The sequence below is a fragment of the Homo sapiens genome, chromosome 15, assembly GCF_000001405.40.
Source record: "Homo sapiens chromosome 15, GRCh38.p14 Primary Assembly".
NCBI lineage: Eukaryota > Metazoa > Chordata > Mammalia > Primates > Hominidae > Homo > Homo sapiens.
Window position 1 is genome coordinate 78,197,163 of NC_000015.10, and position 12,737 is coordinate 78,209,899.

The window sequence follows — 12,737 nt, forward strand, 5'->3', positions numbered from 1 at the left end:
TTCAGTGAAAGAAGCCAGGTGCGAAAAAGGAAAGGCAGAAAAGATAGAAAGCAGATTCGTGTTTGCCCCGGGCTGGAGGTGGGAGTGGGGAGTGACCGTGGAATAGGCACAAGAGATCTTTTTGGGGTGAAGGAAATGTCCCAACATTGGATTGTGGGGATGTTTTGCAACTCTGTAAATTTGCTAAAAATAATCAAATTGTGCACTTAAAATGGGTAAATTTCATGGCATATAAATTATAGCTCAATAAAGCTACTTAAGAAAAACAGAGAGAGGGCCCGCATGGTGGCTTACGCCTGTAATCCTAGCACTTTGGGAGGCCAAAGTGGGCGGATCACTTGAGGCCGGGAGTTAAAGACCAGCCTGAGCAACATGGTGAAACCCTGTCTCTACTAAAAATACAAAAATTTGCTGGTGGTGGTGGTGCACATCTGTAATCCCAACTACTTGGGAAGCTGAGGCATGAGAATTGCTTGAACCCGGGAGGTGGAGGTTGCAGTGAGCTGAGATCGCACCACTGCCCTCCAGCCTGGGCGATAGAGCAAGACTCTGTCTTTAAAAAAAAAAAAAAAAAAAAAAAATAGAATGTTGACCCCCCACAAAGTGGTGCAAGAATCTTGTGCAATGGCCCTCAGAGCATGCCCAGGGCCTGGCATCCAGTTGCCTCTCAGTGGTTATTAGTTCTCTTCCCTCCCCTGGCACAGATTCCTCCTACGCCTGGACTACAGAAAAGGTGACTTTCTCCCGTGGGCACATCTAGAAGCTCACGCTCCTCTGTATTCACCTGTTCACCCAGGTTGCCAAGAAGAGCAGAGGTGAGTCTTGGGATCTCCAAGCCAAACGTTTTAACTTGAGCATTTATAATCTCTTTTTTCTTTCCTTTTTTTTGACATGGAGTCTCACTCACTATATTGCCCAGGCTGGAGTGCAGTGGTGCGATCTGGGCTCCTTGCAACCTCCACCTCCTGGGTTCAAGCAATTCTTCTGTCTCAGCCTCCCGAGTAGCTGGGACTACAGGCATGCACCACCATGTCTGGCTAATTTTTTTTGTATTTTTTGGTGGAGACAGGGTTTCACTGTGTTGGCCAGGCTGGTCTCGAACTCCTGGCCTCAAGTGATTGACCTGCCTTGGCCTCCCAAAGTGCTGGGATTACAGGCGTGAGCCACCGTGCCCAGCCACTATAATCTCTTTTTTTGTTTTTGAGACAAAGTCTCACTCTGTCGCCCAGGCTGGAATGCAGTGGCACGATCTTGGCTCACTGCAACCTCTGCCTCCTGGGTTCAAGTGATTCTCCTGCCTCAGCCTCCCAAGTAGCTGGGATTACAGGTGCCCGCCACCATGCCTGGCTAATTTTTGCATTTTTTAGTAGAGATGGCGTTTCGCCATGTTGGCCAGGCTGGTCTTGAACTCCTGACCTCAGGTGATCTGCCTGCCTCGGCCTCCCAAAGTGCTGGGATTACAGGCATGAGCCACCGTGCCTGGCCTATAATCTCTTTTTAATGACAAAAATATGCATACTTGTTCCAAGAAATATGAAACAATTTAGCAGTCTATGACAGAAAAAGTGATAGGCCCTCTTTCTACAAATATTCATACAAGGACTTAGGTTTTATTTTGTTGTTGCAATTGCTTTTTATGAAAAATAAGGTGGCAGGGGAGAGAGATCATCTTATTAATGTATTAATCACAGGTAGCAAACCCAAAATGCTCATGGGACCAGGCGGGTAGTGTATCAGCATCATAGTAAATAATGTATAGTAATACATAATAAATGAATGAAGTGGCCCAGGATTTGCAAATGAAACCAGAGGCAGTCTTCTTTTCCAGGAAGAAATGAGCTCCCTCTCATTTTCCTTTAGACACATGGCCCTTGGAGTCCACCTTTTGTTTCTCTGCTTTTTATAGAGACATGGAACAGCGCAATATTTTTCTTTTCTTTTCTTTTCTTTCTTTCTTTTTCCTTCCTTCCTTCCTTCTTTTTTTGAGACAGGGTCTCATTCTGTCACCCAGGGCTCAAAAGATCCTCCAGTCTTAGCCTCCTGAGTAGCTGAGACCACAGATGCACAGCACTAAGCCCAGCTAATTTTTTTTGTATTTTTGGTAGAGACGTGGGGGTTAGCCATGTTGCCCAGGCTGGTATCGAACTCCTGAGTTCAAACGATCCTCCAGCCTTGGCCTCCCAAAGTGCTAGGATTACAGGCATGAGCCACTGTGCCTGGCCATATTTTTCTATTACGCAAAAAACTACAGGCCAAGTGCAGTGGCTCACGCTTGTAATCACAGCACTTTGGGAGGCCAAGGCAGGATTGCTTGAGGCCAAAAGTTGCAGACAGCTTGAACAATAGAGAGACCTTGTCTCTACAAAAAGTAGATCTTATCTCTACAAAAATTTATCCAGGTGTGTGAAGTATGTAAAGTAACGCATATGCTAATTAGATCAATTTAGCCATTCCACAAAGTAACGGGGACCACAGGTGCATGCCACCATTCCCAGCTTTTTTTTTTTTTTTTCTAGTAGAGACAAGGTCTTGCTATGTTGCCCAGGCTGGTCTTGAACTCCTGGTCTCAAGCAATCCTCCTACCTTGACCTCCCAAAGTGCTGGGATTACAGGTGTGAGCCACTGCGTCCAGCCAAATATATGTTTTAAATCATATGAATCAAATCAAACCTAGCCATTAGCCAAATCATCCATCTTTAACGTTGGTGATATTAACATGCCTGCCTCATTGTGTGCATGCTGTGTGGCTGCGTTGTACTCCACGGTTGGGCCCTCTCATAATTTACTCCGCCACTCTCCACTGAAGGACGCTCAAGTGGTATCCAGCCTCCAGCCCTCCTTCTCGGTTTAGATTATTAGAAGGAGGTTTACCGGATCAAGAGAAAAGAGTGTTTAAAATCTTGATGGACATTTTGGACAGAATTCTTCACCTAATTTCTCCTCTCCCATCAGCTACATGGTTCTGTCTTTTTCCTGTTTCCTCTTCCATGGAGCCTGTGCTTTTGTGTCAGGTCATCTCATATCCTTCCTGGAAGGAGGGAATGAGGCATGGGAAGGGAAGGAAGGTTCATAGGTCTGCAATGTCAGTCTCCTATTAGTCCAGCTGTTTCATGACAGGGACAAGAGCCCTAGCTCTGGAGGACCCCTTGTCACCCTTGGGAAGGGTGACAAGGCCTCCTGGCCAGCTGCATGACCCAGCCCTTTCTCTGCACAAGCTCAGCTGAGCCAGCAGGACCTGTCTGAGCCCCTAGACCAGCTGGAAGAGGAGATTCTGGTGGGAAGGAGGCTGCCCCTGCCCTCGCTGAGGCCCCGATCATCTCTTGCTTACTGCTTACTGAGCCCCTGCCATGCGCCATGCCATTCTTTGCCCATCACCACTGTCACCTCCCAACTAAAGAGTTGAGTGGCAGAGCTGGCATCCAAACCCCCACAGTTCCATACCCAAGTCTGCTGTTCCCACAGGGGTGCTGCCTCTCACGGTGAACTTCAAGGAAGACCCCGGCACCACATCTCCCATCTCCTCTGGGAAAGGACTATCATGCCTCCCGCCAAGTCCTGTGACAGGTTCAGGCTGGGTGACCTTGGGCAGCCATGACCTCCAGCCACCGGCCTTTTCCCACACTCCTGAGACTCCCAGAGTGACCTTGCTAAATCCAGGTCTGACCTGCTCAAAAGCCCCCGATGGCTCTCATTGACCACAGGGAGACGTCTATACCAGGGCTTCTAAGGCAGGCCCTCCCCAAGGGGCTCGCTTACCTTTCCCAGCCTCAACATACACCTTTCCTTACAGCCAACCTGAACTGCTCCCAGTTCCCTTTGGTTCCCCGTCTCTGTGCCTTTGCCTGTGCTGCGACTCTGCCTGCAATGCCCTTCCCTCCATCACATGCCCACACTTTACCGCTCTTCAAGGACCACGTGTTGCCTCCTCACTAAAGACTCCCATCCTGAGCCTAATGGAGGATGGGGTCATGGTCGGGGCTGCCTCTCCCACCACCCTGGAGCTCTGGAAGTCAGATTCCCTCCTCTCTGGGTCCTGGCTACCAGCAGCAACCCGGCCTCCAGCAGAGGCCAGGGGCCTCTTCTTTGGGGAAGAATGAGCTGAACTCTGCCCCACCCTAGTCCCAGGAGGGCTGGAGACCCAGTGACTGTGTGTCTAGAGGACTCAGGCCTTCATCTCTCCCCCACCTCACCCTTGCCCCCCAGGGAGGCCAATGAGGACACAGGACACATTGTGCTTAAGCACAGAGACAGGCTCACAGAGCGGGTATCTACCCAAGCAGGACACGCCAGCCTCCTTTCCCATCTTGCACCCCTGAGAGACTTAGGTAGGGCCTGCCCTGCTCATTGTCCTTCTGACCTGGGCCCACCACAGCTCAGTGGCCTCAGCCTTGGGTGCCAGCTGCCAAGCTCACTCCTGCCCTTCAGAGCTGAAAGAAGGGAAGACAGATGCATCTTCTAGCCTGGGGTGTGCAATCCTCCCCCTTCTTCTCATGTCCATGTGTTCCCACCCGTGGGCTCTGCTCACACCGTGTCCTCTGCCAATCTCCCTCTCTATAGAAGAAGAAGTCTCTGGACAATGAGTTAGAAGGGCTGGGCCTGGGTTTTAGCTACTGGCAAGGTACGCCAAATGCAAGGCAGAACGGTCAGAAGGGGTTGCCCACAGCTGTTGAGCCTTGGACATTGGCCCTGCGACCCCGACAACATGCATGAGACCGGAGCTGCAAGCCCTGGCCAGAGGCTCATGAAGTTGCTGTGCAGGAGCACTGCTCAGTGGGAGTGCTCCCTGTAGGTGGTGACAGAAAATTAGAGTCTCTCCTGCAGAGTTTGGAAGCCACTTGCAGAGATCAGGATGGCTGAGCTGAGACAATGGGGTGGTGGAAGTCACAGCATAGTGAGTGGAGTGCACAGAAGCAGGTGGCGGCAGTAGGGCAGGGAGAAACTGAATTGCAGCAATGCTGGTTGTCACCTGAGCAGGGAGCCAGGAAGGTCCATTCTTCCCATTCCCTGCTAGGCTTTTTCTTTTTACTTTTATGTTCTTTCCTATTATTATTATTATTATTACTATTTGAGACAGAGTCTTGCTCTGTCACCAGGCTGGAGTGCTGTGGCACTATCTCGGCTCACTGCAACCCCTGCCTCCTGGGTTCAAGCGATTCCCCCGCCTCAGCCTCCCGAGTAGCTGGGACTACAGGTGCGTGACACCACGCCCAGCTAATTTTTTGTATTTTAGTAGAGACGGGGTATCACTATGTTGGCCAGGCTGGTCTCGATCTCCTGACCTCATGATCTGCCCACCTCAGCCTCCCAAAGTGGTAGGATTACAGGCGTGAGCCACCACTCCCGGCCTCCTCCTAGCCTCTTTCTAAGCTTCTTTTCTTCCCTGCCTTTCCTCACAATAACCCACATCTCCTGAAGCCATCTGAACTCATCTCCTAACCTCCCTCTCTCCCTAGGTTTCTCCTAAAAGGAAAGAACTTGAAGCAGCAAAAATACAATCAGGCAAACAGACAATATCCACTGTCTGGAAGGTGCAGTGCAGTGCAGAACATGAACTGGTACAGCTTTGTTGGGGGCAACTGGCAATATATATCCAAAGGCTTGAAACAGAAACATCCTTGCACTTAGCAATCATACTTTCTGGAAGTTACTCAAGGGAAGCAATCAGAGACATGTACAGCGAGAATGTGGAGATGGATATCCATACAGCAACGTGTCTATTAGCAAAGCCATTGGAAACAACCCGAATGTCCAACAGGGGACTGGTCTCTTATTCAGTTCATTATGGTAGAGCCGTATCATGGATTCCCATGCAGCCATTAAAATAAAGTACAAAAAGAATATTTAATGACATATGGAAATGTTCACAGTATAACATCAAGTGAAAAGGGGAGCAAAAAAGGGCATACAGAAATGCATAGACCACACTGAAAAGATCTGTATCGAGAGACTTAGGAAATCAGGATGACTGCCAGTCCTTAAAGTAGTCCTCATCTCCCCTTTGTGCTCCACCAACAGGGCACAACCATCAGCTCTGTCCCATGCCCAAACTAAGATCAGTGCAACCATCAGCTCTGTCCCATGCCCAAACTAAGATCACTGCTGTAGTAACAGCCAAGAACGGGGCCAGGACACAATCAAGGTCTCTGTTGCCCAGCAAGGCACCCAGATCCCAACAGGAGCTGACTCCAAAAGGCAACCAACGACTAGATCTACAGCGCAGTGGAGAACCCAGAAAGCTCGCTGCCTGCTGCCAATGCAGCACCACCAGCACACTGCCCGCCCACCAAGTGCCAAGTCAGCTGAGAGCTGGGGGGTAGGCTTTCCCAGGCAAGGTTGGCACTCTCTGCCGCCTCCCTCTCCCTCTGCCGCTTCCTCCCTCTGCCACTTGTCTTGGCCTGACCCTGGCTTGTATCTTATCAATCCACCCTTTATGCTGGGGGCCACTGGGCAGGCAGGGAGCTGTGTTCTCTGGGGTTCTGGAATAAAGGCGTCTAAAGAGCAAAGGCAGTCACTCAATTAGCCGGGAAGGAAAACAACACAAGAGCAGAGAGCGGGAGGCTGGGGCTGTTTTCCGTGGTCTGTGGGAAAGGCTGCAGGAAAGTAGCTTCTTGTGCAGATGGAGGAATAACTGGTGTTGAGGAAGAGGTGGGTCTCAGGCCTAGGACAGATCTCTCTCCGAGAACGGTCCTGCAGGGCACTGACCCCAGAGGCCCTCCTCCAAAGGCCAGGCAGGAACCAGCCCCAGGAGGGCCCCTCTCTCCAACACGGGACCCTGTGCTGAGGGCCAGCCCAATGCAAGGCACTCTCAGGGATACAGAAGAGGAAGAGGCCACATTGGCCCCAGGACATGAAGAGAGATAAGGACAAGACCTAGCACAGAAGGGTCTGTCAGCTGTTCAGTAGTTCCTCTGTGTCTGAGGGGAGAGGGCCCCTGCAGCTGCCACTCCCGGCCTTCTCAATGGGGACTGAAGAGCTCTGAGTTCTGGCCACCACAGCAGAATGACCCTGGGCCTCAGTTTCCCCATCTGAATTACAATTGGGGTAGACAAGATGTTCTCTATACGCTTCTCCACAGTCATTGTTTTAGCTTTTTAAAATTGCCTCTAGGATTCCACTTGTCCAGGCCTGGACCACCGGGGTAAGGGACCTGAGATGGGCTTTACCTGCCCCTGTAAAGGTGAGCATGCTCAGGAGATGTGCAGGAGACCTCAGGCTGGGTCTCCATCCACTGGAGAGAAGCCGGGTCTGAGCAAGAACCCGGGCATCCCAGCCAGAAGCCCTGGGCTGGCCTGCCCCAGACCTGCCCCACATGGCAGGGTCCTAGGAGGGGACACCCAGGCAGTGTCTGAGGCTGTCCAGGCAGGGGCTGGGTGGGTGCCTTGACCCCTGCGGAAAATGTTTCTCTGAGGACCCCCAGAGGTTCCACTCATTTTGGCTGGCAGGGCCGGGATTACCTGTTTCCATATCATGGAGAAGGAATCACTGGCACTCATTTCCTCTGACCCTTGGAAAGCCTTTCCTGCCGGCCCCCATCGGAGGCTGCGGGGACAGGCAGGTCCTCTTGCCTTCCACTGTCCCAACGGCCTCCTCCTGCTACCCGGCCTCAAACTGTGAGCTTCTTGAGGACAAGCATTGTATCAGGCCTCTTTCTGGCTCCCTAGCGCATAGCTCCAGCCTGAAACACCACCCCTTGCAACATTTGGGAAGGGTGGGAGTGACGAACCGAGGGAGGCCCAGCAAATCCCTTGACCCACAAAGGGCTTCACTGGACTGGAGACAAGTGGGGCTGAGCACCTAGCTTCCCAATTGCAAAAGCTCCTTAGTGGGTGTGGGAGTTTCCTAGGGAGAAAGCGGGTGGGGAGCCAGCCCTGGCCAGCACCTCCAGCAGTTTCATCCCCAGCAGCTGCTCACCCCGGGTGCCCTCCCCTCTCTGTGGTCTCGATGCTGCCCTTCTCCTGCTGGGCTTCAAGCTCTATCTAGAAAGGCCTAGAAAGTAAAAAGTAATGTGTCTCCAGGGCCCAGTACAAGGCTGCCTTTGTGTGAAGGTCAGATTCCAGTGTCTCGGTGGCCTGACTTCGCACAGCTGCTTCCTGGGAGTACAGCCATCTGGAGAGCTCAGAGCTCAGCCTGGGGACCAGAGCTCAGGACCTCAAACTTTTTGGGACCTCAAAGAGATCTGGGAGCCTCCGAGGGCTCCAGAGTGAACCCTGATTCCTGTGTACAAGACTCAAAGAGCTCCCCAGAGGGGCTGCCAGTGTCTGCAGTTAGATGAAAGGGAGGCAGGGGCTGGCCAGACTTGTGGGGGCCAGACCTGGAAGACCAGACTGCATGATGCTATCTAGGTCCCAAAGAGGCAGTGTGGCCAGTTAAGAGTTCCACCTCTTACCAGCTGTGTGACTCTGAGAAAATCACTAACCCTCTCTGAGCTCCATTTCCTCTACCAAATAGGAGTGATAGATTTGTTTTCCCTGCTACTGATATGAAGATAAAAGGAAAGAATACAAGAAAGTCCCTTAGCACAGGGCTTGATTCTTCTTATTCAGGGCACAACTGTGTGAGGAAGGAGGACTTTCAGCTCTCCTAATCCCACGAATCCCTCCTCCCCAGCAGTCTTTGATAGGGATAGTTGGCTTTTCCCAATCTTATCAAAAATGCTTTGTGAAAGGGCAGCTTCAAGACCCCTCCCAATCTGTGCCAGCCCCAATCCCCCTTCTTGTACAGAGACTAGAGCCCAGGGCTCCCAAGCTTCTAGGGAGTCAATGAGAAAGAGTCCAAGCTCCGCTCCAGGCCTGGCACGCGGTGGACACGCCATCCATGAGAATCTGGAACTCACCCACGCTGTAGCGCAGAGGCTCCCCCTCCACCCCCAAGGACACCAGGGCTGCAGGACAGGGTGCTGGGCAGAGCATGGCCCCCGAGCCAGGTCTGTGGGAGCCCATGATGCCTGCTTAGCACTGCCCTGGGAAGCACCTGGGGTCCCTCGGTGGCCTCCGCTCTGGGCGCCTGCTGACAACCATGGTGCCTCCTTAGCCCCTCCCAAACCTCCCCTTTCTCTTTGTCACCAGCCCTGGAAGCTGAACTCCCAAGGGCAGAGCACTCAGTCCAGACCTCTAGGCCTAGAGGGAGCTTGAGGTTCTGAGGACAGCCACAGGTCCTTCTAATGCAAGAGGCCCACCTTGCCCCCACAGCTCCCAGAGGGAGCCCTCCTTCCTCAGCCTGTCCCTGCCCTTTACAGAGGACCTGTCTGCCCTCAGACTGGGGGTTCTTTGAGGGCAGGAAAGAAGATTGTCCGTCTCAGTCTCCTTCACAGCCCAGTGCACAGGGTGGAGGATCCTGGGGCACGCCCACCTTGGCCGTCCCTGCCAGTTTCCCAAAGTCCTGATACACTAGATCGTGATGGCCTTGTCACCTCCCTTACAGTTGCCCACCCAGGCCCTGCCTCGCCATTAAACTCAGGGCCTTCTCCCTGTCCCTCATCTGGCCCCTGGCTGCTCAGATGCCTCTACTCCAGCCCTGTCTGAAGGGACCCTCTCTGGGACTCCCTACCCTGCTTGTTTAAAACCTGCCCATGCTGCGTGTCTACTGCTGCACGGCTGCCAGACGACAGCCATTCAGATGAAGCCATTGAGGCCCGCAGGGCTGGGGATTATGTGTTTCTCCCTCGGGATGCCAGATGCTTTTCTGGGGCTCCAAGGGACACGGAGCCTCCCCCACAAATGGCTCCCTTCCTGCCCCTTGAATTGCAGGAATGCCTGTGCCATCACTCATACTCAGGACTTGCTGAGCTCCACGGTTTTGCTGTGGCCCAGGCCCCTGGTGCCAACACCTGCTCTTTGAGCACCCCAGAGAAGGGATTATAAAGTCTGGGGTGTCTGAGCCTAAGCCAGTTGGTGGGACCTGCCCTAGGTGGCTCAGCAAGTCAGCAAGATGCCTTGGAATCCTGGGAGGATGAACGTGGGAGGCTCCCGGGACCAAGCTGTCCCTGTTCCTGGCCTCTCTCCGGTGTCTTTCAAACCATTCTCAGAAACCAGTTGGTCCTCTTCTTGGCCCAGTCCCTTCTCCTTTATCTCTGAGGTGAGGGCAGGGGGCATGAGAGGAAACACCCACCCCCACAGCTCAGGCCAGATCCCTGCCAAAGCCACCCAAGACACTCGGCCTGGGAGAGCGGCAGCTGGTCTGGCAGCAGTGACCCTCTGTGCTGGGTATCTATTGTTTTCTTTTTGTTTTTAAATTTCTGTTGTTGCTACAATGTTGTTGTGCAGCCAATAAAAGTGCACAAAAGATGTATTATTATTATTATTATCATTTTGATGACTCTTCAGAGTCAGAGTAAATAACTCTGCCTTCCTTAAGGCACAATTATTTGATGGTGGAGATCAAGAAGATAACATGTAATGTTTCAAGCCTCCAAAACAAACCTTTCTAGCCTGCACCCGTCTGCCTGCCCCTTGCCCCAGTTAACCAGGCCAAAAATCCCAAGGCATTGCTTATCTGGGCTTTCTCCTGTCCCTCAGCAACCCTTTGCTGGAGCCCCAAGTTCCCAAGGCCTGGGCCCAGATGATGTCCTACCTGTCTCTCTATCTCTGGCCTCTCTTCTTCCCAGCTTTCTTGAAGAAGAAATCTCCCCATCCCTCATTCCTTTCCATCACGCCTGGCCCTGATGGCAGCCATGAAGGAAGGGGCTTGGTGGGGTCCCTGGGAGCGTGGAACCAGCAAGATCCCCAGCTGCTCCTTCCCGCAGTTCTGTGTGGTGGTCCCCCACACCACCCACCCCTCCAGCACACCCAGCACAGCACAGTTTCCCGCCCTGCCCCACCCTACCACCCCCAGCTGGCTTACCTGGAGCATCCCACTGGGCATTATTCACCTTCTCTGGCACTGAGAGCTCGAGAGCATGGTTCAGGGACTCTTTGGAGAGTGGCTGCCTGTCAGTCAGTGAGCTGGGGTGGTGAGGGGACCAGGAAAAACATTCATTAGAACGTGGGGGACCGGCCTGGGCTTAGGGACTCCGGCCTGGCACACATCTCAGCACCCCCAGGGGGACACTGGCACCTCTGTCTCCTGCAAATGCTGGGGCCATCCACAGAGGAGAACCCAGTGGGAGTCAGGGGACAAGACCTCAGTGGTTGTAGGGGCTGACCCTGCCCCCACCCAGCCTCCCTCCAGGCTCTAAGGGCTCAGGAGAAAGGGAATTCAAGGCCTTCTGTGCTCTACTTTGTGGTGTGACCCTGGGCAAGTTCATGCCTCTCTCGGGGTCTCAGCACCCCACCTGGATGAGGACGGGGCTAAGGTCCGCACTGGAGGATTCTGAATGCCACTCCTGGAGAGGGCAGACTTTTGGGGCGGGGGTTCCCCCATCTGTCACTCCCTGTACCCACCAGTCCCCAGCCATGCCCAGAAACTGAGTGGAGCTGCAGGTACTCATAGGGCTCTCAGGGGTCCTATTCCGGCCCCCCAGTGAGGGCCTCCCCTCTTCCATGTGCTTGTGGGTGCACCATGCACCCCATGTCTGTTCACTCCATGGAGAAGACAGACATAGACGGGTCCAGGGAGACCTGAGGCCCAGGGCCTGACCCAGATCCCCCTCGCCTCCCAGGCTCGGTGACCCTGGCTAAAGGGTCTCCCCTTCTGGCCAACCCAAGTTTCATGGGTTTCTGGGCTTTCATTATCCTTTCAGCCTGACTGCCCTTCAGCACCATTTTTCCTCAGAGTTCACCTGGCCAGACCTCAACCTCCTAGATGGCTGAGCAGCTGGATTTCAGTACACACTTTAGGACTGCAACAGGATTATAGAACTCCAGAGACACATTTCACAGTCAACAACTACGTAAACAGAATCCACTGGAGTTGTGCAGCATGCAACCTGTGCAGCTGGTCATGGTGTCCCTGAGGGTAGGACCCTGGCTCCAGGGAGCCCTGTCTGTCAGTTAGGGTGGGGCTAGCCCCATCCCTGCCCAGTTCCCAGGAAGCCGGGCCAATTACCTGCTTCTCACATTCAGCCTCACTCCTTGTCGGCACTGCAGGTTCCGAACAAAACTAAGTTTGTGAACACACCTAGGCCCACCTGGCAGCCATCTGCTTAAGAACCTGAGATAGGTTTTAAAGCGAAAGATATCAGAAGGTTATGAAGGGAGGGGGACGGGGAGAAGGGGGATGACTGGGGAACCAAGGTGGCGCCGTTCTTGCGAAATTTGTGAGCAAGGCCTGGGCCACAGGCCTGGAGCAGCCCTTCCATTGCTATGGCGACCCACTCCAGGGAGGTTGTGGAAAAACTGAAGAGATGGCAACGTGTGCTTCCGGGGCGAGGCCTCCTGTGCCGGGCAGACAGAGGCGTGTGAATGCTGCAGAACTCGTCCTACTGACTTTGGATCCTTGGTTACAGCTCTCTGGGATAGCCAGGTAGAAGCTGCCTCCACTTTGGGCCGCAATGTTACCAAATGGCCCCTGAGCTCTGGGTTCAGGCAGCGACGGCAAACGAGGGACACGTACACTGCTAGGCTCAGAGGCCTGCACTGTGATCATCTGGGGAAGACTGTGAACTTGGTTGATGTCCCTGCCCCATCTCAGCCTGTGTTCTCAGAGGACGGTGGACAGCACCCCAGGTTAGAGTTAGCAGCTCTAATCAGCCTCTGAGATCACCAGCTGGGCGGCCACCTCCACATTAGCCAGGCAGGAGGCTGTCCTTGGCTGTAATGTCCCACCATCTGAACTGCTTCCTCACAAACAAACCTGTTTTT

At 53.3% G+C, this 12,737-nt stretch overlaps 1 protein-coding gene across 6 annotated transcripts in view, besides 1 other annotated feature; it reads right to left on the reverse strand.

Annotated features, from left to right (window-relative positions):
* The window catches only part of ACSBG1 (acyl-CoA synthetase bubblegum family member 1), a 67,098-nt gene that overhangs the window by 29,695 nt on the left and 24,666 nt on the right, over nt 1-12,737 (reverse strand). For 4 of the 6 annotated variants that reach the window (NM_001199377.2, XM_017022025.3, NM_015162.5 and 1 more), the window contains exon 2: nt 10,840-10,940. In NM_001199377.2, the coding sequence (NP_001186306.1) occupies nt 10,840-10,940 (101 nt within the window). Of the gene's footprint in view, nt 1-2,930; nt 10,658-10,839; nt 10,941-11,982; nt 12,088-12,737 lie in introns of those variants that run through there. The other 2 variants (XM_047432273.1, XM_011521391.3) reach the window with 2 other exon arrangements.
* Nucleotides 10,779-11,290: an enhancer, noted in NCBI's record as "H3K4me1 hESC enhancer chr15:78500283-78500794 (GRCh37/hg19 assembly coordinates)". NCBI's record gives its function as "activates a minimal SCP1, AML or CMV promoter by ChIP-STARR-seq in naive H9 embryonic stem cells {active_cell/tissue: H9 hESC(naive)}" and the evidence as "EXISTENCE:reporter gene assay evidence [ECO:0000049][PMID:30033119]".